The 18,641-nt window shown below is 41.9% G+C and overlaps 1 protein-coding gene across 11 annotated transcripts in view; it reads left to right on the top strand.

Moving 5' to 3' along the window:
* Nucleotides 1-18,641, top strand: part of PIEZO2 (piezo type mechanosensitive ion channel component 2) — a 479,323-nt gene that overhangs the window by 431,672 nt on the left and 29,010 nt on the right. For 7 of the 11 annotated variants that reach the window (XM_047437735.1, XM_017025918.3, NM_022068.4 and 4 more), the window contains 5 exons: nt 2,082-2,248; nt 2,968-3,134; nt 12,152-12,562; nt 13,246-13,504; nt 15,727-15,909. In XM_047437735.1, the coding sequence (XP_047293691.1) occupies nt 2,082-2,248; nt 2,968-3,134; nt 12,152-12,562; nt 13,246-13,504; nt 15,727-15,909 (1,187 nt within the window). Of the gene's footprint in view, nt 1-2,081; nt 2,249-2,967; nt 3,135-9,458; nt 9,624-12,151; nt 12,563-13,245; nt 13,505-15,228; nt 15,346-15,726; nt 15,910-18,641 lie in introns of those variants that run through there. The other 4 variants (XM_047437736.1, XM_011525726.4, NM_001378183.1 and 1 more) reach the window with 3 other exon arrangements.

Genomic DNA, 18,641 nt, shown 5'->3' with positions numbered 1-18,641 from the left:
GTCAGAATGAAGGCACACACAAAAAATACTGGCAATTATTTTTAAAAAACACAGAGAGGAGGAGGTAAATGAGAGAGAAGTAGGACTGGCAAAATTAGTGATACTCTAGAAGGTTAGGGCCAAACTCTTCATTTTAGGAGGGGAAAACCAAGCTCAGTGAGTTGGTGACTTGTTCTGGATTCCACAGATAAGTAAGAGAGTCAGGGATAGAACCCTTGTCTTCTAACTGCCAGTCCAGCCACAGTGCCATTTGGGCTCCTCATAGTATGTGATTTGGAGGAAGGTATCTTTATGCAGGAAGAAAAAAAGGCCAAAGCCTCCAAATGAAATGAACTCGATGCTCTCTAGCCCTCTCTAATCATGCCATTTCTTCGTCTGCTTTGGAGCGCCTATGCGGTTATCTCTTCGTCTGCTTTGGAGCGCCTTTGTGGTTATCTATCAGCAGGCCAGGCGTCAGGCTCTTTATGTCCCCACACAAATGCTTCCAAGCCTCCCCTCTGCTGGCACGAAAGGAGACTTACGGAAGGCCACCTAATGCCCTCCACCGTGCCAGTCCTCAAACCCAGTCTTCCAATTCTAGGTCATTGGACACACATATATGTGGACCTGGACACTCTTATTGCTGCAAAGCCTCACACCGTAACAGCTGCCAACACTTCAGATCACATGTCTTGTTTCTCAGGCACTTTTTCGAGAGTTTGGAGTATATTAACTTGTTTAACTCTCTCAAAACAGGGAACTGAGGCAGAGAGAGATTAACCGACTTAACCTCTTAGTTGTATTAACCAAGCCTATAGAACCACTAAAGAGTAGAGTTGGGATTTGAACCCAAGGAGTCTGAATCCAGAGTGTGTGCTCTTAACCACTGTGCCCTACTGCCCCTGTGGTTAAAGTCGAGTCCTCACTTTCCCTGTTGGTGAGTCGTCACCCAGGTTCACAAAGCGCCTGTGATTCACGTCTCCAGTGCGGTGGCTGCAGCCTTACAATCAGGCCCACTGTAGCAAAACCACGCCGTAATAATGTTCACCTTCATCATTTCTAAGAAAACAATTGTGGGTATGAGAAAATACATGTCGAAAATATAAGGAGCTCCTAAAGTTCATTGATGGGTGTAACTCCAAGCCTTTCATCCTCCAGAGCCAAGCTTCCCCTTTATGTCTACACAGAGCAGCTAGAGGCTCTATCTGAATGATTGTGAGAAATACATACCTTGCTTGAGATTTTATAAAGGATGTGAGGAGGGGCGGAGAGGGAAACATAGGTGCTCGTGGCATCTCCTGTTCAGCGGCCACAGCGACTCACTTCATTCAGCTTCAAGCAGCGGCCGTTCTCTTCCTGTGCCTCCTTGCTCAGCAAAAGATACCCGCTCTTTTCCTTGCTTCTTAAATGTACCTCATGGAAGACTGTTAGGTGTGACATGGTTTTGAGGTTTGGGTGTCACCAGGGTAGTGACAGCACAGGTGGGAAATTGTCACACAGAACATCAGATGTCACTATATACACATATTATATAAGGAAGCTAGAGAAAATGTCATGAAGAAAATCAGAAAGAAAATATAGTTCCTATTCAGTAAATGGAAGTGGACCATCATAAAGCTCTCATCCTCATCGTCCTTCCCTTGAGTGGGTTGAGGAGGAGGAGGAAGAAGAGGGGTTGGTTTTTCTGTATTAGGGGTGGCAGAGGCAGCAGAGGTGGAGGAGAGAAGGTGGAAGGGGAAACAGAAGAGGCAGGCACATTTGGAGTAACTTTTACTGAAAACAATCCACGCGTAGAGTGGATCCACGCTGTCCAAACCCATGTTCAAGGGTCAGCTGCACAGGGAGCCGCCCTGCTTTCTGTTTCCACTAAAGATTACAAGTTCTATCCTGATTTGGTCTGCCACTGCGTGTGTGCAAAGCCCCACAAAAGCTTCCTGCATGGCAGCTCTCCTCCGTGCGTCATGAGTATCTGAGTCACATGCCTTATTAGATGCACGGGCCAAGAGCCAGGTCCAGCTTTGGTAAAACATCGCTGGGCTACACAAAAGTAAAATCAATGGTATTTTGTTCCTTTAACATCTTGTTGCCTTTCTTCCTCCTAGATAATATCATCAAGAGGATATTTAATATTTTGAAATTTACCTGGGTCCTATTTCTGGCAACAGTGGACAGTTTCACTACTTGGCTTAACTCCATTTCAAGGGAGCATATTGATATATCTACAGTTCTGAGAATTGAACGATGCATGCTGACCAGAGAAATTAAGAAGGTAACACTGCTGGTGTAATTCTTTTTGCTCCTTCCCACATTAAGAAGACATTAAAAGTCAATGTCCAAAACTCCAGGTAGGATAAGACAAAGCCCTTTCTTTCCAGGCAGTTGTGGCATAACCCCTTTGCTTTTCTGTATATTTAAATCTATTCCACACTAAGAATTAAAATAATTAAATGTCATGCACATGCACCTACACACACACACGTCACAGAATGGCAACTTTATTCATCCTATCCCTCCCCTCACCACAGTTTGCAGGTGTACAGACTTTGCCTTGTTCTATATCCCTATATCTAATAGAGAATTATAGTTTTAGTCTAGAAAGTGTAGAAAGTGGTGTTTGTTTTCTCCCACCTGATCACTGAAGTCTGGAAAGTTTGATCTAAAACTTTTTTATAATAAAAAGTAGGACATACGCAGAATAACAAAATATATGGTTTAAAGACTGTATTTTAAAATAATAGTTCATATCTTGAAAGGTTACTATGATTTGGCAAAATTATCTACCTATAAGAAGACATTTACTTAGATCTACCTAGTAATGTTGGAAACCACTTATGAAATGAGTCGACATCAATCCCCACTTGCCTAGCATGGTCCTAATCCTTATCCAGGCATGCATGGGTATGAAAAGCTGTCTGTGTTGAGAAATGCCAGGTGGCTATACAGGTAGATGCCTCCATAAGAACTGTGGCAATGTCTCATTCTCCTCAGGGCAATGTTCCAACTCGGGAGAGCATCCACATGTACTATCAGAACCACATCATGAACCTTTCCAGAGAGTCGGGACTGGACACCATTGACGAGCATCCCGGAGCTGCTTCAGGTGCACAGACAGCCCACAGGATGGATAGTTTAGATTCACATGACAGTATCTCCAGGTATTTCACTTTCTAACAATGGGTTTACTTTTGACAAAGGTAAATGAGGTGGATGTCATCAAATATAAGAAATGAATGTGTGAGGTGAAAGTTCATCAAAACCATGCATGGACCCCCACCCTCTTCCAGCTGTCGCCATCTGTACAACAAACTATAAGGAACATTGTCCTCACCTAGAAGGAACCAAATAAAAGCAGATATCAATAAGACACTATTAGCTATACCTGTGTGACCCAAAGGCACAGTATAGAGATTTCCAGGCTGGAGGCAAGGAAGAATGATCCCTCCCAACCCCAAAGTTATTATTTGTGGGACATCTTTAGTGCCTTTCAAGATAGCCGATCCACAGTGTCTTCTACATTAGGGTCTTCTACTTCTGTTGCTATCCTTGATCTTTCCCTTCAGAATTGTTACCTTAAGTTTTATGATAAAAATTCCCAAAAAGTATTCTGTTAGCTTCCATCTTCTCTGAGTTTACTATTGTATGCATTGTTTCACAACAGGATTGTCAGATGACACAGTACTAATGGGTTCGCCAGGGGCCAGCACTAAGCACTGTACCTGGGTTACCTCATTTTATCCTCTAAGACCCTACGAGATGCATGCTATTATTATCCCTGTTTTGCAAAGACAGAATTCGGTTACAGGGAGATTAAGAAACATACCCAAAGTCACACAGCTAGGATGTATATAAAAGCGGACCCGCAATCCAAAATCATGTGGTTTAGCTCAGAACCCAAGCTCTCAACCACCCTAGTATGCTGTCTCTCATTGCCTCTTCCTGCACCGCAGACCAACTTACTGCCTGTCCCAGAAAAGCCTCAGAATTCTTTGCATCACAGTGTTCTAGATAGCTGATAACAATTGTACAGAGCTAGATTCTAAATTAAAGCAGAAGTCCCTGTCTTAGGAGGAAAAATCGCCTTGTTAGGGTGAAGCGCTAGACCAAATGAATTACACCTTATAGCCACCTTCATGGGTAAAGAATTGTATCACTGAGAACATTCATGTTTTATGTTTTTCATTAAACATGTTGAGTATCAGCTATTCTGTGCCAAGCCCTGGGCTCTATTCTGGGAGAGGCATATAAAGATAAGAGTAATCCCCTAAATGGTTTGAGCCTAGGAAGAACTGAGATAAGGCCATTCCCTCCTAAAATGCTTGCCCTGGGGAGGACAGTAGAGACTGGTGTCTCTGACTGCTGGTCAGAAACTCCTGGATGGCTTTAGAGTCACACTTTAGAGCGAGGCACTAATGACCTGGAAAAGTATTTGTCCTTCACAAATGCTGGATATATTTCCAGATGAAATAGGAGACGGAGCTGAGACCATTTTATTGATATCAAACCCAAAATAGACAACTGGATGTTGGAATTACAAACTGAGTGAGGAATGTGGGTAAAAAAAAAACCAAAAAGTTTTGCCCTAAAGTGCTAATTAACTGTTGCTGCATTCCTGTATTTGAGCCTCTCTAATTATGCCAATTATTTTGCTACCCAATAATTATTATTGAGGCAGATCCATATTTATTGGTATGAAAAGATCTTTGTGATATATATACACAGTAAAATATATACATATATTTAGTAAAAATCCAAGTTTTAAAATAAGATGTATGCTAAGCCTAATTTAAAATATATATATTCATGCCTAGATTGATTTAGAAGTAATATTCGTGCAGATAACACTGTGCATGGGTGTATCCCTGCCTGCTCCCCTAAAATAGGTATTGATTCTTTTAAAGTCTTTTGAGGGATAATAAAAGAGACTATATTTTTCTTTTAATTGGTTAATAATCTTTGCTTATTTATGAGTTCCAAAGACACAGATATTTCATCTATTATTGTATATTTTTATGGAAAGAAGAAACATTTAGGACAGAAACTCGTTATGATTTCAAGGTCAAACATGTATTTCCTAATTGAGATTTGGTTTAAAGTTTTAATTCATAGAATAAAATGACTGATTATTGGAAAACTGTGTCATCATAAAACTTTCTTTTTCAGTGTCTTTCTACCCAAGAATATGCACATTTCTCAATTATTAATTTCTGAAACCATTAGTAATATCAAAGTTACAAAGAGAACATTTAATATCATATCCTTCCACTGGTGAGTGTTACCAGAGCGTCACTGTGTCTTCCTGAAAACCTCCCACAATCAACATTTTGAAAGGGGAGCTTCTGTCTTCTTCTTTGACAGATTCCATTCAGACAAAAAGTCATTCTTTATTTTGAATTTTATTTTTACTTTTTGAAAGCTATTATAACTGTTCTATTTAGAAGCTTCCAGATGTATTAAATTCATTCTTATTGCAACAATCGTCTCCCTATCTATTGATCATTGTATTTAAACTGAATCATTCTCTCTTTAATTTAATTCAATATACTTAATTCATTTTAACGCTAAAACTTAAAATCCGTGTCTAGCTCCATGTTACCTAAGCTCTTAAGTAGTCCAGCTAGGTCCTCCCTTAATCCTAGAGGGACCCTGCATGGGCAAGTCTGTGAAAGCCTGCAGGTTTGTGCAGCAGGGTGGGTGGGGAGCCAAGACTTGTCTGAATGTGGTGAGCACTCGAGATGCTGACTGGTGCTGCTTCCTAGTTACAGGGTGAACGAAGGGATATTGGGGAATCTAAACATTTCTAAATCTACCCGCTGTAGGAACTATTCATGATCAAACAACCCTTTTTCAAAAACCAAGAGAATGATAGGATGAAAGAAATGCTGAGATTCTCTACACGTAAATGTCCCAAATGATGTTTCTTTTATTTGTTTGTTCATTTATTTTTGTGTAACATTCACACGCATCCCACTGCTCTCAGCTTTGGACTGTACTGCTCTGTATATATCCAATATGGACTGGGTCGGATCCAAACTATGTCTTTATTACTTTTAAATTCTAAAATAAAAGGCTCAGACAGCTCTAGTGAACTTAACCAAAAGTCATGATCATATTCAACTGGAATCGTTTCCTCCTGCGCGGTGAAGAATACGATCACGTACATGCGTAGTATTGAGTTTGAATATTGCACCTTTGCATCTTTCTTCGAGAAAATATGCTGCCCCATCATGTGATTTGTAAAATTTTTCAAATGCCTTTTTTTAACCTCCCTTCTTGCTTCATTTTGTAATACAGAGATTTTTTTTTGTTACCTGAATCCCCAAGTGTGGCAAGCGAAATGGGTAATGAATAGAATTGCCTTTCTTCATTAATTTGTGATGACATTAACAGTAATTGGTGACATTTTTTAATGAACCTCTTTTGAAATTTCATGAAGCCATATAGTCTCCCACAGGGAAAAATCATACAAAGATACAATTTTTTTCATACAATCTCAAGGGTTTTATAGGCCTCCTGAGTATCACACATGAGCCTGGCTTGAAAAAAGATGCTCTAGAACCAAACTCTGAATCAGTGGCCTCAGAGAATATTCAAAGGTGAATTGAAAATAAATTTTTCATAAAATAAACATAGGTGAATCCCATCTTTATGACTTTTAACTACATAACAATGAACAGTATGCCCCATGAAGAAATTAAATATTATAAATCACAATTAAGGAGGAAAAACAACTGGTTAAAATAAACTCAAGTAACTGCCTTTAAATCTGACCTAAGATTGCAAATAGGAAACCACACTCATGATAAAAAATTGTGAGTTAAGAGATATTTAAATTCATCGATTGCTTTTTGACAAAGACTGTCAAAATATCCCCCCAGTTTTAAAATGGTCAGTCAGTAAATACAATAACTAGTAGGAAACCAGCACCTTTAGAATTAGGTTTTAATGTATTTTTATTTTGTTTTTCAACCTAAAGAAAGGGGAGACAGAATAGGGCCTATCTTGTTGCCAGTAAAGGAGTTACCTCACTTGCCCTTTTCTGCAGTGAGCTGTATTTCTAATTTCCAAATCATCATTTGTCTACACTGTAGTCTCCAGGGAGCCATGCTGATTGCTGGAAAGGTAGTAACCCTCCCTAGAAGAGGTTCTGCAGTGGAAGTCATTGGGAAGGGTCTGGTGGCCAGGAGGCTGCCACTCCCCAGTGAGGTCATGCTCACCCAGTGTGGCCAGTGCCCTTCATGGCCCCTGCTCCGAGGCCAGTGGCATGAATTTTACCTTTAAGCAGACAGTAGACAGAGTCTGGGTGGGATCCTAACAAGTGGATTTGTAGTCCCTTTGACTTACGAGAATAGTCACGGTTTCTTTCAAATCCAGATGTAAAATGGCAAAAATTTTTTAATGGTTGCTTTATATAATCAGATAACACAGAAAACATTAATTAACATTCTGAGGGGCATTCCCAGGTAGGAGGTGGTTAATATTTTAAATATGTCCTCTGAGGGGTTGCTGTGTGTTCCTGTGGTGCTGGCAGTGGGGGGGCCCGTCAGGCAGGTGATGGCAGCCGTCCCCTTGGGCCTACTGTCGGGGCCTATTTTTATACATTTCCTCCCCTTCCTATTCACTTTTAAACTGTCCTGGATTGTGTGATGTATTAGTTGCCCTACCGGGAACCCAACTGTGTGGGATTATGTGGGTTCTGAGAACTCCATCCAAGAGTTAACAAGATAAACAGGGCTTTTGAATTAGAACCATCGGTTCCCATGAAGAAAACCTGAGCAAAGCTGCAGGAGACTGCACAGGCTATGGGGTTGCATCTCTGCAAATATTAAATGAAATACAGAAATGCGAAGTCCCCTCATCTCAGAAACATAAAATTGGGGCCCCAGAAAGGGGCACTGATTCATCTAAAACCCAACAGCCAGTTAATGTCAGCATCCCAGTCCTCACTGTGTTCGTCCAATGCTTTTCTAATTTATCTTGTCATTGTCTCCTCATTTTGTCCAGGCCATGGTGACATTGTGACATCTAAAAGAGTTAGGGCAAAACAAAACAAAACAGCCTCAATGTCCTTATTAGAGAGTATTTTGGTTGCTCACAGGCTTATCGCCCTCACTGGCTGCCCCTGTCTTGGTCACATAGCTGTAACATGCACAGCAGCATGGCCGGCCCCACTGGAGCAGTTATGGCTTGTGCTCCAGCACATGGGACCTGAAAAACTCTTTTAACAGGTTCCATGAGTGAATAACTCAAATTCGCTCCTCCCAGGCTTGCAGTGGTCATTGCATCCTGAAAGTCTTCCATCTCTGCCTCAGGATCCTTGGCCAACAGTGTATGGCTGTGCAGGCCAGGCACCTAGTACTCTCCTAGTGAGTTCACTTGATGACAGAGTTCAGCCTACCACGTTCAGCCTGGAAATCAGGCAACCTATATCTCTAAAGATCTGTTTCTGTTCCCTGGGTCAGCCAGCCCATGAGCACACAAGTTGGAAGATAAGTATTCCAGTTGCTTTCTGTAGAGGATCTTTGGGCTGTCTGTCCCTCTTTGGGGTTGAGCCATGTGTGGGAACTGAAACTATGCGTGTGTCACACCTCTGTGTGCCTCCTCTCATGAGCATCCTCACCCAGCAGCATCCTAGGCCTGGATCTGCCATCTTCCCTCGCCAGTCACTGCTCCTTTGGGTACCAGGAGATGAGGGCTTTAGGCAGTGGGTTCTCTTCATCATGGCATCCAACAAGCCCTAAAACATGATCCAGAAGAAAAATTAGGCAAAATGAAAAGTTAACAGACAAAATGACTCTGCCATTGCTCAAGTTCCTTTGTTCTTTCCTTTACAGCCTTTTATTTTATTTCTGATGTTGGTTTATATCCACTGCATATTAAACCAGCATCCCGACTACATGCAGAGCATCTCATTTGGCTTAACTGAATATCACTCCAAAAATGGGGTGCAAAATTCAGTTTGTTGTCATTCCTGAGTTTCCCCTCTCTAATTCTGAAGACCGTGTTAAAAAGAAAAAAAAGATTGAAATATTTTATGTAAATTCTACATGAGCAGTTATTTCTGTTCAAGCAAGTTGGTTAATAAATGCTCTTAACTCAGGACTGCAAGCTCCAAATAAAGCATATTTTCTTTCATTTAAAAGAAACCCTCTGTTACGAAGTTATAATTACATAAATTATACATTGTGAGAAAAATATTGGGACTTGTCATTTTTCTGTTTCTTAGTCCCACCCAGAGAGTGCCATTTTGTAATGTGTCACTAGCCAATATGTTTTTTAAAATCCAGTACTCGTGTGTTTCAAGGTCCTGCACACAGGTCCATCCCCATCCCTGAGCCCCGCTGCGGTGGCCTTCCTTGTCGGTGGTGTTGGTGTCATGTGTGGTTTGCTGCATGGCAGTGTGTTGGTCAGTTGATCCGTGTGTAACCTGTGTACAACTTGGTGTTTTAACACTGTGTTTCTGTAACTGTTTGCGCTGCTAGCTGCTACACTGAAGCAACCATGCTGTTCTCAAGGCAGTCCACCCTTGATGATTTAGATGGACAAGAAATTCCTAAAACAAGCGAGCGTGCTCGGCCTAGGCTCCGTAAAATGCTCAGCATGGATATGTCCTCCTCATCAGCTGACAGTGGCAGTTTAGCATCAAGGTGCTTAACTTGTGCATGCTTTGTTCTGTCATTTTAATCACCTCTTCCCCCCCTTTATGTCACTGCAAATATAAGTTCTTGTGATGTATGTTTTTATTTCATTTTTATTTTAAGAATCTGCATGACTAACCGAAGCATAATCACCACTGCCCTCTGTGAGATGTAATTGTTCTCAGGACAGCATTATATTAAACTAACCGCTCTTTAGTTTTTGTCTGTTAGGAGTTTCTTTAAAAATCCTTATCACAAACATTCTCCTCCATGTTTTCAGTATTTCAAACTTTCCATTTTCAGAGACATAAGCATGTTTCCTCCATAATTTAGAGCTTCTGAGGGCACTACTCAAAGGGGGAACTCTGTTTGCAAAGGTAGAAAACTTCTTCTCTTGATGTAATCAAAAGATGCATGCAGTAGGAAAAAAATCTAAAAATCTATCATAGGTAGTCATTTTTAGTGAATATTAAATAAGTCTGCATGTTATCTGCCTAATTGACATAAAAGTCAGAATATAGTTTACCATTGGTTTTTAAAAAGAATATTATGCAGCAGAATGCATCATCTTTGTAGCCTATAACTTTTATTTTGGGGAAAATATACTGTGGCTTAAGTTCTCCCAAATCCTACCCTAAAACAGTATTCATTTAGAAATAAAATTATTTGCATACAACCCGAAAACTCTTTTTGAATTGCCTTAGGATGGTGAGGGGGCACAATGAAGTCAGCAGCTACACTGTGTTTCTCCTGACACGAAAACAGCCTAATCCAAGACAAGTTTCGTTTTGACTGCTCATGGTGGCAAGTCAGAGGGCATCTTCTTTTCACTGGCAGCCGTGTATCTCGGTGCATCCCTGCAGTATGCTGACACCTGGCATTGATGGGAATGCCTTGGCCATTTGACAAAGTCCTCTGGCGGGCATGTGCCTGCCATGCCAGTCCATTTTCTTGACCTCTGAAGGTACCCTCCACCCCTTGGTGCTACAAGAGATCCAAACCAAAGGGAGCATGATTAGGACTGATGACAGTCTTACTGGCCATGAGACCTGGTGCGGGGTTGGCTCCAGTAGTCTGCAAGTTCCCTGGGCAATGGGTCAATGGCATGGCCCTCCTAGGAAGTATATCTAATTGAGGTAAGTCTTAGCAAAAATCTGTTTTGGGCTGGCATTTCACCAGCCCGTACATGATGTGCGCACTCAAGGACACAGCCCTGGGGATTCTGAACACCTGAGCGGGCATCAAAAGCTCAGGCCAATCTGGTTCTTCAGTCACAGGATGCCGTGAGCCGCTCTGCCAAGGTTCATTCATTCATTCATTCATCCATATGTCTATACTGGTATCTGTGACAAGAAACATGGGTACAGTCTATGCATTTGAGAATCTCAGTGTTTATGGAACCCTGGTGGTCACACGTGCCATTCAGATAAGAGTACGTATTTCAGAGTCTAACATGTCACCCTCCCACATCCAAGACAGATTCCCAATCTCCAGGTGGGTTTTGCCCCTCTCCCGTCCGTGGCTGGATGTGTCTGAGGTAGAGCAAGCCATGAATGTCACTGGCTGCCCTCTTGTCATTGGCCAACCTTGTCTGCATGGACGTGACAGGGAAAGTTTAAAGGAACAAAAGAAGGAGACAAAGGATATGAGAGAAAAGAACAGAATGCCAAAGGCAGGGAGTGAGGATGAGAGTAGAGAAGCTTCTGGAAAAGGACTACTCAAAGAGGAACTGGTAGAAGAAAGTAAGTAAAGTTGTTGGTAGGAGAGAACAGAAGCGCACCCTGGGGTGGAGTGGGCAGCTGGAAGGGAGAAGGGCCAAGGAGAGCTTGCGTGGGAAGAGAGTGGCTGGAGTCCCACAGGGAAGGGGAAGCCCTGGGCACAGTGCAGGGAGCTGGGACGAGGGTGGAGATTCCGCAGACGGGATGCACAGAAATGCAAAAAAGGCAAAGGATGGAAAAGCAGGGTGGAAGAATAAACATGAAAGAAGGGTGGCATTTTTTATCAAGCACACAGTTGTTCAGTATAGCCAATATTTAATCATTCCCATTCCCATTCCCCCCTTATGGTCTGGGTGGGTCTGTTGTGTAGGATGGAGGGTAGAATACCTATTTGCTAAGACTTAGCTCTTGGTCAAAACCTTCAGAGCTTCTGCCCTCCAGAGATGCCCCTCCTTGAAGCAGACAGAGCAGTGGGTAAGCTGTGCTGTGTTGATATGGCAACAGACTCTGGAACCCGAGGCTGTGAATCTAGATACTCCACACTTGTTACGGGGGTGGGTTTTGCTCTTTGAGAGCCACGTGACTGGCTCTGGTTCTAAACTGTGTGTGTGCACTGTCAACATTTGCATTGGAGAGGCTGCTGTTTGCAGTGGCTGCAGAACAGGAGTGATTATCCTAAAAGAACAAAGCAGATGGAATGCAGGGGGGAAAATGGGGCATTTCCTTAGGAGTTCTGATGAGGTCTCTCAGGAATGGGAAAGAACCCCAGGAGTGTGGATGCTAAGACATGGGCTCTGTGCCCACGCTTTCTCCCAACAGCGAGCCCACGCAGTGTACCATGCTGTACTCACGCCAGGGGACCACTGAGACCATCGAGGAGGTGGAGGCTGAGCAGGAGGAGGAGGCAGGGAGCACGGCGCCTGAGCCCAGGGAGGCCAAGGAGTACGAGGCCACTGGGTACGATGTGGGAGCCATGGGTGCCGAGGAGGCCAGCCTCACCCCAGAGGAAGAGCTGACACAGTTCTCCACCTTGGACGGGGATGTGGAGGCCCCACCCTCCTACAGCAAGGCTGTGAGCTTCGAGCATCTGTCCTTCGGCTCGCAGGACGACTCTGCAGGCAAGAACCGTATGGCAGTCAGCCCGGACGACAGCCGCACCGACAAGCTGGGGTCCAGCATCTTACCTCCCCTGACCCATGAGCTGACGGCCAGCGAGCTGCTGCTGAAAAAGTAAGGGTCCAGTGAACAGATCAGACACATATCCCCAAATCACCACTTAAACATAATGCCCTAATTCTGTATACAGAAAAATTCATATATAGAAAAAAGTTCATCTGGACACTTAGAGCAAACAGACAATTCCAAGACTTCTTGCACTGCAAGTACAAAGCAAACTTCGCTCCTACCATGACTGGTTCTAGAACCAGCAAAACCCAGAGCCTTGTGTTGACATTTCTTTCTATAATAAGGTCTGATATTAGGTTGTCTCTGAAGGAAAAACAGGAAGCCGGGAACACAGCAGGAAGGATGGTGCTAAATGAAAATCAGTAATTTGGAGAAATTAAAGAAAGGCATGGCCGGGCGCAGTGGCTCATGCCTGTAATCCCAGCACTTTGGGAGGCTGAGGCGGGTGGATCACCTGAGGTTAGGAGTTCAAGACCAGCCTGACCAACATGGCGAAACTGTCCCTTTACTAAAAATACACACAAAAAAATTAGCTGGGTGTGGTGGCAGGCACCTGTAATCCCAGGTACTCAGGAGGCTGAAGCAGGAGAATGGCTTGAGTTCGGGAGGCGGAGGTTGCAGTGAGCCAAGATCACGCCATTGCACTCCAGCCTGGGCAACAAGAGCAAAACTCCATCTCAAAAAGAAGAAAAAAAATAGACATATTATCATGTGGTTTGCTTTAACAGGATGTTTCACGACGATGAGCTTGAAGAGTCAGAGAAATTCTACGTGGGGCAGCCCCGATTTCTGCTGCTCTTCTATGCCATGTACAATACCCTGGTGGCCCGCTCGGAGATGGTGTGCTACTTCGTGATCATCCTCAACCACATGGTCTCTGCCTCCATGATCACGCTCCTGCTTCCCATCCTCATCTTCCTCTGGGCCATGTTGTCCGTCCCCAGGCCCAGCCGCCGGTTCTGGATGATGGCCATCGTCTATACTGAGGTAGGCCTGGACGCAGACCCCTGTGGATGGCTTCAGGCGGCTATGCAAGGGGAAGCATACCTTGTGTCCCTGTGCCCTCTCTTGAGACGGGCCTGCCCTGATCCCAGACAGTTTCACATGGAACATGCAGTTCCACAGACATTCTTAGATACACAAATCGTCAGCAGCAACAGTTACCTAGCACTCGCAATTCTAAAAATCTTTTCACACTGCACACCTCACGCACGGCGGGTACTGGCATCATTCCCATTTAACAGATAAGGACACAGCATCAATGAGATTAAATAAATGGCCAGAGTTGCCCAACTGGTGAGGGGTGGGTACACGTTTGAAGCCTGGTTGCCTAACCTACGATATTAATCACTGAGACGATAACAGGCTTCTGCAGAGTCGAGCACAATGCCTGGCGCCACCGGGGGTTCAGTGAATGGACCCTGTGTTAAATCATACAGTCCGGCACTTTGGACATAGTTTGAATACATCATACATACTTTTCATTTTTAAACGTAAACGTAAAGTTCCATACGTCGCAACACAAAATTGTACAAGCACCCGCTTAGCATCTGAAGGGTGGATGTCAGCCCATTTTCATCCCATGCGGGGTATGAGGAGCCTTCTGCTCACTCTTATGTTCCTGCTTTTCTGTCCTGACCTATTCAACATAGACAGGATCACGAATGCCCATGAAAACCATAAAGGGACTTTAAAAAAAAAAGCTCGATATTCTTGGTGCCTGGACGACCATGGTGCTTTGTGCTCTCAGGTTTGTGAAGAGACTGATTTTCTTCCCTGACTTGTAAGGAAAAGTTGTCACTTTCAACAGTGCTGTAATTACTTCTTAAATGACAGTGCTCATGCTAGATGCACACCCAAAGCCCAGAAGTTTTGTAGGTTGTAAGTAATTCAGTAGCAAAATTAAAACAAAGCTATACAGTAAAGCATCTCAAAAGTATTTGGTTGAAAGTATTGATAGCATGCATCTTATTTCCATAAGGAAAATAAAGGATGTGAAGTCAAATATATATCTATTGCTTGAATTGGCCAATCCAAGTTAATCATCCCTAAACTTTACTTTCATTACATCACTTCAAGATGTAAATGACTGCCTGTTTAGGGAATGGGTGCCAGTCTATAACAATGTGAGTACATTTATCAAATTCCCTTTCTTACCTAGGGCTGAAGTAAGAGGAAATACCAAGAATGTGGAAAAGGGAACAAGAGCTTCTTGTATAGATTTCACCTTAAAAATAAAATATTTCTGGCTATAGTCCCAGCACTTTAAGAGGCCAAGGCAGGAGGATCACTTGAGGTCAGGAGTTCAAGACAAGCCTGGGCAACATAGCACGACCCCATTTCTACAAAAAAATAAAAAACATTAGCCAGGCATGGTGGCTTACACCTGTAGTCCAAGCTACTTGGGAGGCAGAGGTGGGAGGATTGCACCCAGGAGTTTGAGGTTGCAGTGAGCTGTGATTGTGCCACTGCACTCCACCGTGAGCAAGAGGTTGAGACCTCATCTCTAAAAAAATAAATAAAATATTTCTATATAAGTTAAGTTGAGGCTCTCCCTTTTCTTGTCACATTGCACTGAGGACTGAAGTAAGTGGGAAATTCTTGATGTTGATTTACTCTATCATACAAACCCCGTGTCAGAAACCAAGAACCCTGCTACGCACCAGAATACAAAGATGAATAGAAAGCAAATATTCATTTCTGTTTTTTAGTGGCTCCCAGACTAATGTGGCACACAGATATGATGGAGGAAAGTGAAAACTACATACATCCTAACCGTGTGATATGCTCCTATAGATTGCGAATTAAAGAAATACAGAAACTAGAAAGATACGAGTATGTTCTGTTCATGTTTCCCTAAATAATATATTTAATAGCTGCGTAATTATATCAATATCTAATTAAATAAGTATAATGCCAACACCTCAAAAAAGAGGAAATGACTAATCAAAGCGGTGCCCTGAGAAGTCTGACTGGCCTTGCTGGATCTACAGTGAAAGACACTGTGACGGTTAGATGCTGCTTCTGTTATGAAGTCAATAGTCTGCGAGAATGATAATGTTACTATTCCACATAATTATGTGCCTGCCTACCATCAAAACTGTGAAATGCGGGTCTCTTTCTTAATTGTTATATTGCTCTTTCCCATATACAGGTATATCTATTCCTAAAAGGAGTAATGTTTTAAAATTTCTGTCATCTGTGCGTAGGTGGCAATTGTAGTCAAGTATTTCTTCCAATTTGGGTTCTTTCCCTGGAATAAGAATGTGGAGGTGAACAAAGATAAACCGTATCACCCCCCAAACATCATAGGAGTGGAAAAGAAGGAAGGTTATGTTCTCTATGACCTCATCCAGCTCCTGGCTCTGTTCTTTCATCGATCAATTTTGAAGGTACTGCATGTTAACAATTAATCAGTTCAAGTTGGTCATCTTCCTAGATAACCTGGACCGTAATCTTCCTAGATAACCTGGACATCAGGATTGGTGATGGGGCTGAGGGGCCAGTGAGTGGTATCTACTCATATGTTTTTTTTAAAAAAAAAAAGAGAGAGAAAAGAAAAAGGTTAAGTTCATTTAGCTGACATTTTTTCCAACACTTGTGGTGCTAAATAATGGAACTTACAATAAATCTGGGAGAATGTTTCCCCATGTTTCCAACCTAGGTTAAATGTGTAATCGTGAATCCACTTTTGTGGAACATTGCTTGAATGATGTGCAATATTCTAAGGCCGGATACACTAAATTCTGCTTCTGATTTAAGCCAGAGCATCAGACAGCCACAATGTGTGTGGATCATATTGTCTCATCTCCATCCCAGCTTCTGCCTCCCTTCTTCTAGTAGTACTGCTTTCATTGGGTAGCTTCTTGTCATGAAACCACTAGCTGTTGGTGAGAAACCACATATTCTTTAAAGTTGCCCAGTAAAACCCAGAGCTGTGCTTTCTCCTGCTTATTGTGGAGGAGGCCACTCATGATCCTGCTGGAGGAAGGCCTTTATACAGCATGGCCCTGCCTCAGCCTCAGGGACTCCTGTCCTTCTGAGCAACTTCATGGGTTTTTCCTTCTCACATGCTGTGAATTATAAACTAAACTTGTAAATACGCCATTTAATTCTAATAAATAGAAATTATTGCATAGCATAGATTTTATGTATGAATATACCTCTTGTTACAACCTTACTTTCTTTCCCTCGTCTTAACCTTGTCTTCTTATATAAAATATTTTAAATTCCTTTTATCCAGGAGTATCTTTCTTAGTCCCTAGAATCCTTTTTAGAACCAGGCTTGGCATAAGTTAATACATACACGTACATATACATACATGCACACATAGATATGTAACAGTGTGTTTAACTTCTTCTGCCCTAGCTCAGTGAGCTATTTCAAACTCGGTTTCATCTGAGTGTACTCTGGTCAGCCTCCTCACTCTAGCTTCCATCACTTTGCAAAGTACCCAAACCCTCCATTTGGAGGGAGCCTTAGCTGGGTCATTGGGTTGTGGCAGGTTTTTGAAAGCTATGTATCTAAGGAAATCAGTTAGCAAAAATTGAATTTGCCTAAATCTTACAGTTCTTCTGTTGGATATGTTAATTACTTGAATTTATTTAGTATACTGATTTTTGTTATGAACATATTAATAAATGTATTAACCTTGTTTTTTAGTCTTAGAAATTCACTTTTTAAATTTCAGTATTTAATACTTGATGGTATAATTTTGATCACTTCAGAATTCTCTTGCAACCTTTACATTCTTTTGTATCATTTAAAATTATTATAACTCTTTAGGCACTTTTACTATCTTTTCATCAATGTTCAAATGGCTTAACTGCTGCAATTTTATATTTAAAACATATAATAAAATCTTGGTGTTTCATATTGATCTTATTCTTTTTTTGAAAATTTCAAATATATGAATGTATATGAGATTTGAGGTAATGGCATTATGTTAAAAATTTTAATTAAATATATAAAAATAGTTTTTAGAATGATAAATCTTTTCTTAAGAAGACAAGCTACCCCATAGCTTTTGAAAAAATAAATCTTTCATATAATGTTGCCATGAAAACCAAACAATTAAAACTGCAGAAATTTCAAAAGTGCTTGAAACCATCCTATTTCATACAAATTGCTGTATATTTGATAAATAATTAGAAGAATTGGCAAACAAGTAAATATACTACTGAGAAAGTTGTGAAATAATCTAAATATATGAAGGTTGGCCAAAGAGGAAACAACTCTTAAAATAATAGGAAAGAAATCCATATAAACTGAAAAATCCCATTACGAAAAGCTAAAATGTTTGTTATGTTTATAAGAATACATTCATTGAATATGTTTAAGAATAACACATTTACAAATAAACATTTAAGAGTCATCTGTCAAATGAGTGACTGGTGGATTGATCATTCTCGGAGTTGGTTTTGACCAACTGATTTCTGACAAATTGGCCTGGAGCTCTTGTCCTCCATGTACGAGTCAGAGAGAAGACCAGGCAATGTCTTAGGAAGCAAATGCGTGGCCAAAGAGCTCAGGGGAGAGCTCCGTCCAACAGCAGCAAGGTCATCAGGGTGACTTTCCATCCAATAAGTCAAGTCACTGTAATTTCTTCCTTAGTCCATCTGCCAAAAGCTATCTGTCTCCATCTTAATTATCAGCTAAAATCTTATTATCTATACCCACCCATCTCTTCCCTACTGGGACCCTCATAAAGCTCTAGACAAGCTTTCTTTTCTTGTGTATTAGTCCGTTTTCATGCTGCTGATAAAGACATACCTGAGACTGGGCAATTTACGAAAGAAAGAGTTTTAATGGACTCCCCAGTTCCACACGGCTGGGGAGGCCTCACAATCATGGCAGAAGGGGAGCAGGAGCAAGTCACATCTTACTTGGATGGTGGCAGGCAAAGAGAGGAGTGCTTTGTTCAGGGAAACTCCCCTTTTTATAACCATCGGATCTCATGAGACTTATTCACTACCACGAGAACAGCATGGGAAAGACCTGCCGCCATGACTCAATTACGTCCCACCGGGTCTCTCCCACAACATGTGGGAATTCAAGATGAGATATGGGGACACAGCCAAACCATATCATCTTGCTTTTCTAATCTTGAAGGACAGTTTGTTG

The sequence above is a fragment of the Homo sapiens genome, chromosome 18 (assembly GCF_000001405.40).
Source record: "Homo sapiens chromosome 18, GRCh38.p14 Primary Assembly".
In the NCBI taxonomy this organism is placed as follows: domain Eukaryota; kingdom Metazoa; phylum Chordata; class Mammalia; order Primates; family Hominidae; genus Homo; species Homo sapiens.
This window is presented reverse-complemented; position numbering and strand designations above follow the sequence as displayed.